Source organism: Homo sapiens, chromosome 8, assembly GCF_000001405.40.
Source record: "Homo sapiens chromosome 8, GRCh38.p14 Primary Assembly".
NCBI classification, from domain to species: domain Eukaryota; kingdom Metazoa; phylum Chordata; class Mammalia; order Primates; family Hominidae; genus Homo; species Homo sapiens.
The window spans coordinates 9,276,721-9,287,471 of NC_000008.11; the positions used below are offsets into that span (position 1 = coordinate 9,276,721).

The 10,751-nt window shown below is 45.1% G+C and overlaps 1 annotated feature.

Moving 5' to 3' along the window:
• Positions 1-502: an enhancer, noted in NCBI's record as "H3K27ac hESC enhancer chr8:9134231-9134732 (GRCh37/hg19 assembly coordinates)". NCBI's record gives its function as "activates a minimal SCP1, AML or CMV promoter by ChIP-STARR-seq in primed H9 embryonic stem cells {active_cell/tissue: H9 hESC(primed)}" and the evidence as "EXISTENCE:reporter gene assay evidence [ECO:0000049][PMID:30033119]".

Consider the following 10,751-nt stretch of genomic DNA (forward strand, 5'->3'; position numbering starts at 1 on the left):
GCTGATTGAGCTGTCCCTTCACTACAGCTTGGTTACATCTTGGGCAGATCTTAAAGAGGTCTGGTCGACTTTCAGATATTAGCAAGTGCAGTGTAATCCAAACCAAAACTTCACTCTCTCATCCAATAGAAGTTTTTCCCTTCTCTCCCCGCACCACATTTCCTGCCTCTAACCTACTCTCTGCAGCTCCTGGTTTGGTCCAGGGACCTGTGGTTCAGCTGTGGTTTGCTCTGAGCTGTGTAATGCTTTCTCTCATTGCCTATGTACACATATTGGAAATTTCCCATTGGACCCTTTTGTGGATTCTTTAGGGACACCTCCCCACCTCCTGACAAACAACTCTCTCAGATCCATGTGGCGGTGCATAAGGACACCATCCTCGACAGGGGCCATGGGCTTTTAGATTATTTCTTAGGGTGCCCCTGAGCTCTCCCTGCCTGTAGTCTGCTTCCAGGCTCCTTCCCCTCTGGCAGGCATCCCGCTTGGCTCTGGTTTTTTTCAAACTGGGGGATTGCAGGGCACTCCATTGGCTGCCCACTCTTCTCTCCCTGCCTAGTGGGGGCTTCAGCCACCTCTCTGCCATTGGGCTGCTTCAGTCCCCAGTTTCAGGACCCTCAAACCCAAGGGCCATGTTTCAAGCTCTCCCGGGGACCCTCCTGTGCCCTGTGCAGCCACAGCCTGGGGGACGCTCAGCCCACACTTGGCCAGCGAGTGAGTGCCAGCTTCCCCTTCCAGAAAACAGCCCCCATCTGGTGGTTCTCCAAGGCCCTTGTTCACTTACCTTTAGTGGGGTTGGAGGCAGGGAGGAGGAGAAAGGCAACACTGCTCTCTGTAGTTCTATACATTCTCTTCAAAGACCTCTTTCTTCTCTTCCAAGAGCCACTAGCCTCATCAGAGGCATAGGTGGTTGCTGGACCCACATGTTCCAGACCCTTGTGTTGCACTCTGTGTAGATTTAAGCTGACCATGGCTGACCCTTCTCTTCAGAATATGGAGGGCACTTATCATCCACGAACCTCAGTTTGGAGGCTTTGGCAAAAATAAGACACAGGAGGAGTCTCATTCCACCAGACCCGCTTGTTCAGCTCCACAAACTTGAAGCATTTGCCACACACCAGGCATGGAGCTACATGCTGGGATTACAGAGATGAGCAAAGCATAAGCCATGCTCTCAGAGTCTCAGAGACCTGGTAGAGACCAGAATGGACCAATGCACAGAAAAGCAGCAAGGCAATAGTTAAGGGCAGTTTCTGAGGCCTGAGGTCCCCGGTTTGAATTCTGGCTTAGCCTCTTCCCAGCTGCCCAACTTTGGACAAGATATTTTAATTCTCTGCGCCTCCATTTCTTTCTTTTTTTTTTTTTTTTTTTTGAGACAGAGTCTTGCTCTGTCACCCAGGCTGGAGTGCAATGGTGCGATCTCGGATCACTGCAACCTCCACTTTCCGGGTTCAAGCGATTCTCCTGCCTCAGCCTCCTGAGTAGGTGGGATGACGGGTGCCTGCCACCAATGCCAAGCTAATTATTGTATTTTTTTTTTTTTTTTTTTAGTAGAGATGGGGTTTCACCATGTTGGTCAGGCTGGTCTTGAACTCCTGACCTCAGGCGATCTACCTTCCTCGGCCTCCCAACGTCCTGGGATTACAGACGTGAGCCACTGCGCCCCGCCTGTGCCTCCATTTCTTCACCTGTAAAATAAGGATAATAATATCATCGAGGTATTGTGATGATCAAACAAGTTCAAATGGAAGGCTCAGGGCAGAGCCCGGTACAGAGCGTAGTTCTTTCACTGAACACCAGCCACTGTGCCGTCTGTCCTGTCTTGCAGGCTTCAGCTCTTCCTGGGCCCGGGCTTTCCTTCCGCCTTCCTTCCAGGCTCTGGCTGCCCCTTCGCTTGTGTCTCTGGCTGTGCTCTGCTTTTTCTAGCTCATGCGCATGGGCTGAGAGCACCCAACTCAACAGCACATACAACCGCGTGGCTTTTCCCGAAGACCTGCTCCTTTTCCTTTTTTAGTAGAATATTTGTTGTAATTCTGCATTTATGAGCGCCTCATACCCCATCTTCCCTTTTAGTTTCTCCCTGTGGGTGCATTTGAAATGCACCCTTCACCCTTTGATATCTCCTTTCTTAAAATATGAGATGCACATCTGATTATGCCTTCTGTTCCCTTCAAAGTACTTATATTAGGTTCAGAGCAGCATCTTTTGTGTCACTTCCTCTCTCTCCCGAGAAATAAATTTAGGAGTAAAATGAGTCAAAATTTAGCGTGATTATATTTTAGAAGCTCTCCATCCAAAAGTGACTTTTCAACACTATAGAGGTTGTTTAGGAAACAGTAACTGCAATGGGATATTAAGATGATACTCTTCTGTGTTGAAATTTGGGTGACGCCCCCAAAGCCGAAAACTACCTCAAAGGGGATTCTAGATCATCTTTGTGGGGGTAGCCCAAAACTTGTTCTGGTCACCTCCTTCAATAATGCAAAAGAGAAGACTAGGAATTTAGGAGGAGGTTGAAGCAACCAGTGGCAAGGATTGGTTTGAAGAGCATTGGCAGAAGCTGGGCATTCCCACCACCTGCACCCCAGCCCCTGGAGTGGAGGAAGGGGCGTGGGTATTTTCTTCTCACTCTAGACGAAGCAAGAGAGGCCTCAGAGACCACTCAGAAAGATTTACCTGTGTGGCTCAGAACTGGTGGGTACAGAGTCTGGTATCTGCCTTCCAGTTGTAAAGCCCAAAGAGAAGATTGTGATTGGAGCCTCCCTTGCCAGGGACCAGAGAAGAGACAGGGCTTGAGAGATGAAGGCATCCCCACGGACAGAGGGGAGTACCAGGGGCTGCAGGGGTTGGCAGGCGAGTGGGCAGATAGATACTTTACCTGTTTTATTTATTTATTTTAAAACATTTATTTATTTATTTTTTAGAGACAGGGTCTCACTCTGTCACCCAGGCTGGAGTGCACGGGTGCAATCATAGCTCACTGGGGCCTCCAACTCCTGGTTTCAAGTGATCCTCCCACCTCAGCCTCCCGAGTAGCTGAGACTACAGGTGCTCACCGCCATGCCTGGGTAATTTATAAATTTTTTTTTTAGAAACAAGGTCTCTCTACCATCCTGGCTAATATGGTGAAACCCTGTCTCTACTAAAAATACAAAAAAAAATTAGCCGGGTGTGGTGGCGGGCGCCTGTAGTCCCAGCTCCTCAGGAGGCTGAGGCAGGAGAATGGCGTGAACCAGGGAGGTGGAGCTTGCAGTGAGCTGAGATAGCGCCACTGCACTCCAGCCTGGGCGACTGAGAAGACTCCATCTCAAAAAAAAAAAAAAAAAAGAAAGAAAAGACACAGGGTCTCACTATATTGCCCAGGTTGGTCTCAAACTCTTGGGCTCAAGTGATCCTCCACCTCAGCCTCTCAAAGTGCTGGGATTACAAGCACGAGCCACAGTGCCCAGCCATTGCCTGCTTTAGAATTGCAGGTTGGAGATTCCCATGATGTTTAGTGAGATGTCAAAGGAAGACTCCAACGAACACAGAAGAGTGCTGTGCAGGAGAAAGAAACAGCCTAACACCAAACTCATGGTGACAACCAGGGGAGCCCTTTCTTGTGTCTTTCCTTTCTTCTTTCCATCCTTCTACAGTTCTGGGGGAGCAGAATGAGGGAGGAGGGGTGGAAATAGTGATCTAGCCAACCACGATGCTACCCCACTCTTGGCTCCCAATCTTGTATCAGGTCCAACTTGGTGGGAAGAAAAGAGTTTAAATTGTATGACAAATTTCAATTTTGAATTAAACTGGACATTTTTATTATCTGAGAAATGAGGCTATTTGGTAATTCTATAAGACCTGCCTGGGATTTCATCCAGGAGCAAAGCTGAAGCGTGCAACTTAACACACAAAAAAGTAATTGCTTTCTGCTTGTACTCTATTGAGTCCAACTCATTTAATGAAACAGTGACTTGGTAATAAGAAAGCAGAGCCCATGGCCTGTGTCTGGAGGGCCTGCAGACACACAGGAAGATTTAGTTGTGGTATTGCAAACATGATTTTCACATTAAGAAGTTCCTTTACGGTAGCAACCCACCCGCAGAGTGATGGCTTTTTAATTCTCTTTACTTTTAGTTTCAGCCCAATGCTTTGGTCATCCACCATTATGAATAAAAGATGCTGTTGGGCCAAGGTAAATTCCTCTTGGCACACTCAGCAAAGGGCCAAGCACATGGACATGACAGACATAGGAGAAATTGCCACAAGGGTAAACTTCGGCTAAGAGGAAAGCTGAGCTATCCAAGGCTAGAGACGGGACTCTACAGTGGGGAGTATCCTGCCTATAAATTCAGCACTTCAAGATGGGGGTTGGGGAGAGGCACAGAAGCAAGCACGTGAACAACAGCTCAGGGGAGACCAGTAGGGGGGCCCTGTGGGATCTGAAAGGCTGGAGCAAGTAGAAGGGGGATAATGGGAGGAGAGAGAGGGTGGAAGTGGAGGCCGGTATAGACAGGAGGTCTGAGAATGTTCGAAGGGCTCTGCTGTAGGATTGTCAGACCTAGCAAATAAAAAAAGAAACACCCAGTCCTCTCTTCTACCTGGCCACCCTACTCTAGAGGGTCTGTTGGACCACAGGAGTGAGAAGCAGTATCTGTAGCATTTGCTATTGTGGCCAGAGTCTCCAAAAATTAAATAGAGTGAAACTGTGTGGAAACAGATCATTCTTCATACGAATCTGAAAGTCCAAACTTTAGCAATATTAAGATGGATCAACTGTTATTACTAGGAAAGAAAGTTATACTGAAGAAATATTGTGTGCTTTGGTAATGTCAAGGACACTAGAGATAGCAAATGTATATGACTCGCTTTAAAGAAATATGGCTTGGATAGAAATGACTAAGGGACATCCCACAACAATGTAAAAAGCCTATTACAAAGTAAGTGCATCCAGTCTTTAATTTAATTTTGACTCAAATAATAGGGTAAATTTTTTCTTCATGCAACACATAATTTTAAACTTTTATTACACAAAGCTGACAATTCAATTTAAATTGTGAGAGTATGTTTGCTTGGCACAGTTAATTCTGGTGATATTTACTGTTGGCAAGATCTCCCAAAAGGCAGAACATCTTGAAAAATGTGTTCCGGTGATTTCAAACCACTTTCAGATCCTTGCTAGTAAGCAAGAGTCGGCCTCCCATCATCCAGAGGTTTTTGAAACACTGACAGACACAAGTCCTGATTTGGTGGCAGTATCAGAAGCGTGATTTTCATATGAACAAACCCATGTGCAAAAGAAAGTTCTTGCTGCCACCTCGAGGGTCCCCATCATGGGCACTTCCCAGCTTTAGTCATGTGATGCCAGCACTAGACATGACTCTAGCCTGTTTGAAGGCCTAAAGCACTGGATGATTTAGAACAAAGCGCCTTAGTTACTCCGCCTTCCCCCATACCACCCCTGGCTCAGACGAGCCATCAGCATCCTGAGGAATGATGCTCTGCATACTCTAGGATAACAGGTGACAGGACATCTATGAATAAATCAAGAAGCATTTCAGAATGCAAATGCACACTGCTGGAATGAAGGCAAGAATTGAAATGTATCGTGGGGATCTAAAGGGAAAACTCAACGTCCAGATGGATGAAGTCATTTACTCAGGATCAACCCGACAGTACCAGAGAGGTGTTCCCGAAACCCAGACTGTAAACATTACATTTGTGTTCAGTATACTCTTCACATCTAGCTCCACAGTCCAGGTTTTGTTTTTTTTTTTTTTTAGTTGGGTTTACTTAAACTGAAATGCATCTTTTATTTGTGTTGTCTCAGTGCCTTAAATTATAACTTTTCCTGCATGGAAAAAAAAAAAAGTGATTTCTTTAGAAGTTTCTCTCATTAGGAGTCCAAAACTGTTAGCTATTCATAATCCCAAAGCCATCATTTTGGGATCTGAGGTAGGTCGCGGTGCTGATTTGCTTTCTCCCTCAGTGCCTGACTTTGGGCTTCTCATGTGCCTGGAGCGCTTTCTTTTTAGGATTGCAGACGTCCAAAAAGCAGAGGGGCAGCTTGGGAGGTCAAATAGCTAATCTCTGTCTCTCCATTTGCGCTCCAAAGTGCTCTTCTGAGGAGCGGACCAAGCCCTTCTCCTCCCTCCTGCCTGGGCTCACTGAGAGGGAGCTGGTCTCAGCACAAAGCATCAGCAAAGTGAGCAGGGCCAGGGCCAGGAGAGCTGGGCGCCCACTGAGTGCACCACACATGAAGCCAAGAGAGGAAGAGCCATCTCTTCCAGCAGAAGACTAAGAGCCCTCTCTTCCAGGACAACTAAGGATGGATTTGCCTTTTTGAAAATTTGAGGTTGGACTTGCAATAAAAAATAAGATAATTTGTTATTGAATTAGGAACTTATGTATGGGAAGGAAAAAAGCAGCCCCCGAGCTCAAGGCTGCACACAGTGGGCTTGGCTCTCCAGAAAGGAGAGCTCTAAGTGGGCAAAGGTAACCGCTCGCCTGCACTGCTCACAGGCTCCCAGCCAGACCTCCCTACCAGACTTTCGGGAGTAAGTCACTCATTCATACTGCAGTACGCAATTCCTTTCCTTTCCTTTCCTTTCCTTTCCTTTCCTTTCCTTTCCTTTCCTTTCCTTTCCTTTCCTTTCCTTTCCTTTCCTTTCCTTTCCTTTCCTTTCCTTTCCTTCCCCTCCCTTCCTTCCTTCCTTCCTTCTTTCATTCCTCATTTTTACAATCAGTTTAAATTGTGTGTTCTTTTAGAAAATATAATACAAACATATGAGAAAAATACAAACAGGGCAAAAGGAATACAGCAAAAATTATCTTCCTTCCATCCCTGTCTTCCTACAAAAGTTCCCTTTGGTAGAGCTAACCACTGCTACCAGTTTCTACAGTATCTTTCCAGAGATACTACAGGTGAAAGTGTCTATTTATCTATGTCCTGCATAAATGCAAGCATATATGCATCTTCTGCACCTTGCTGTTTAAAAAACACTTTTTAAAACACTACCCACTTAAAATACTTTAATAGATCCTGGTTCTCTGCAAAATAAAGTCCAAACTTTTTCTGGTATGAAACATCCTTTATAACTCCCCAAATGAGTATCTCCTTCCAGTTCAGTGACCCCCTCCTTCCTTCCAGCTTCTTCCTCTCCCTCCCACCCCACCCCAGGTTTCAACAGCATAGAGCTCCAGGCCTGGGAGCCTCACTCCTGTTGGTCCTTTGGTCTGGAGACTCTTGCTTTTTCTCCTCTGCTTGTCAAAATTATTCTCATCATTTAAAACCCAGCACATCTGTCGCTTCTGCTGTGAAGGTTTCTCCAAATTTCTCAGTCATATTGACCATTTCCTCTAAGTACCCTTCTTAGCAAGTTCTGTATTCCTCAGTGGGTGCTTTACTTATTTTCTGAACACTCTTGAAATACCATGTTGGACAAGAGAGACCATAAGAAACAACACGGTCTCTGCCCTCAAGGAACTTAAGGTCTAGCAGGGAAAAGTCAACAAGCCATGGCAGTAGTGAGTGATCATTGCTGGTGTTGGGAACACGGGAAAGAGGATGCACATGCAGACTGGGAAGGCCAGTTGGAGAAGTTCTTGGGGGAGGCGGAACATAAGCTGCTAGCTGAGATCTAGAAGGGACTCACAATAAAAAATAAGAGAATTTGCCATTTAATTGGGAACTTGTGTAGGGGAAGGGGAAAAGGAGCCCCCAAGCTCAAGGGTGCACACAGTGGGCTTGGCTCTCCGGAAGGGAGAGCTCTAGGTGGGCAAAGGTAACCACTCACCTGCACTGCTCATGGGATCCTAGCCAGACCTCCCTAGCAGACTTTAGGGAGTAAGTCACTCATTCACACTGCAGCATGCAATTCCTTTATTTCTTTCCTTCCTTCCTTTCTTTCATTCCTCATTTTTACAGTTTATAGTCGGTTAGATTTTTACAGTTTCTAATCGGCTAGAGCCACGTGAAGAGTTATGGAAAATGGAAAAGGTCAAAATGTTCCCAGGTGGCCATGCTACACAAAGAGAAAGGCATATGCAAAAGTTGAGAGAGCACCAGAATTCATGAGACCTTAGAGATGAATCAATATGGCACGAGGCTAGAGCTTTGCCAGGGTAGAGTCATCAGAGAAAGTCTTCTGTAAATTATAAAGTCATCTTCAAATGACAAGTGTGGAGGTAAATGACTCAAAACTTTGACAACTGGAGATTTGTAATCTTTAACCTCCAAGTTGCTGCAGTCTCTAAAGATTTAAGAGGATTTGGGGAAGGCCAAGGGATGTCACTCAACATAATTGCTTTTGAGTATTAAAGCCGTGGATTTTGACAAGCACTGCCAGGGAATGTCTGAGGGTTTGCATTTTAGTGAATTACTCTGTAAATCAAGATATATATTAGTAATACTAAGAGTGGTAGTAATTAACCTATACTGAGCTCTTACCCAACTTCCAGCACTATTTTTAGGACTTTGCATATTAGAATCTATTTAATCCCAACTACTTACAGGGTGAGTATGCTATTATTATCTCCATTTTTTAGATGAGGAAACCAGGTATTGAGAAGTTAAGAGGCTTTCTCAGTGTCACAGAACTTGCTTGTGGTGGAGTTAGGATTGAAACCCCAGTGGTCTGGTTTAGAGCCCGTGTTCCTAACCACAAGGCTCCACTGCCTCTCCTCAGCTTCAGTGGGCAGTGTTTGGGTGAGAACACTGCCCGGCCTGGAAACCCAACATTTGCTGTTCCAGAGAAGCATTCTGCAAATCCAGGGCACATGGTCAGTAGGTGGAGTCTGCTTAACCCACTCTTGGCATCTCAAGGCAGTCACTGCCTGGAAATAACAATTCGGGGAGTTTAATTAACAGCACACTGCAGGAATGCCAAGAAAAATGGGAAATCCATGAGTGGATGCCTTGGGGTTGAAAATCAGAATTGAAGGGCCTTCCCTGCCGTCTTTCAAGCTGCCATGGATTGCAACAGGCAGAGCTGCACTTGCTTGGTTTAGGCAGAGGAGTCTAGATTAATTACACAGATGCATGACTTTGCTCAGAAAAAGCCGGTGGATGGTTTGATGTAGTGACTTCTGCAACCATAAAATTGGGAGATATATGGTTATCTCTGTGCTAAATGGGGCCCTGAAGAGATTAACCTCACATACAAAGTGAAAATTATATGAATGAATTTCACCAGGTGGGGAAGACTCCTCGTCATACTTGCAAATAGCAGTTTCATGCCAAGGATGCTGGCTTCAAATGTGAAACTATGGAAAAGTTTTCTTGAGAGAGTGCCATGGGGCTGTGAGAGAAGTACTGGTTTTGAACATGCAGAAGATTAAAATTTGAGGTCAATGCCTTAAAAAGATCCCTGAATACATAAAGCTTTAAGCGGGGAGTGGTGGGGGTTCTGTTTATTTTATGGTCAAGATGTATTTTTGAAGGGAATGCATTTCATGCTGTCAACCCAACTGTAGACTTTATCACCCTCCCCAGGAAGGGGAGGGTGAGAGTAAGGCCAGGTGTGGGGTGCAGGCTGTCTTGTCCTTGGGGCCAGCACACATCGCCGGCTCACTAGCCTTTCTCTCTGGTACTAGGAATGAGCTTCATTTCTGCAATCTGCATGGTAACCACTGTAGGAAGGTGACTGTGCAGAAACTGAAAAAGCACAGTATTTTGAGTGTAGAGAAATGTGTTCAAGTCACAGCTCTGCTACTGACTAGTGATAAGGCGTTGGGTGAGTCAACATCTCTGAGCCTCACTTAGTCATTTGTGAATAGGCTTATAATCCCATGCCTGAGAGATGCTTTAAGGATAGAGACAGTGGTATACCAGGGCACCTGGAAGCTACAAAGCAACATGAAATGCTGGCTAATGGAGTTAGCAGAATTTTAAGGCATCATTTACTTACCTGATATTTGTCTCCTATCTTCAGCCTCTCAAATATTGCATTTGCTTTTGTGTTTGGTTTTACTATTTTATTATGCTAAAATATACATAACAACATTTTACCCCAATAACCATTTTTTAAATTATATTTGTAAATTGTATTTAACTGCCCTAGATTGTATACTTAAAAATGGATACAACTTATATGTTAGTGCTGAGTATTTTATTCAGAGTTTCGATAAAGACATTTCTCAGAATTCTTTTTTTTAAGGGTGCAGAAAAAAAATTTTGTAAAAATAGATTCAGGGTGTACGTGTGCAGGTTTGTTGCATGGATATATTGTGTAATGGTGAGATTTGGACTTCTAGTTTGCCCATCAACTTGAATAATGAAGACTGTACCGAGTAGATCATTTTTCAACCCTCAGTTCCCTCCATCTTCCCTCTCCTTGGAGTCCCTAGTGTCTAATTTCCCTCCGTATGTCCACATGTACCCATTGTACCCATTGTTTAGTCCCTACTTATAAGTGAGAACTTGCAGTATTTGATTTTCTGTTTTTTTTTTTTTTTTTTTTTTTTTTTTTTGAGACGGAGTCTCGCTCTGTCGCCCAGGCCGGACTGCGGACTGCAGTGGCGCAATCTCGGCTCACTGCAAGCTCCGCTTCCCGGGTTCACGCCATTCTCCTGCCTCAGCCTCCCGAGTAGCTGGGACTACAGGCATATGCCACCACGCCTGCCTAATTTTTATATTTTTAATAGAGACAGGGTTTCACCATGTTGACCAGGCTGGTCTCAAACTCCTGGCCTCAAGTTATCCACCCGCCTCAGCCTCCCAGAGTGCTAGGATTACAGGCATGAGCCAGTGTGCCCAGCTGATTTAATTTTTTTTT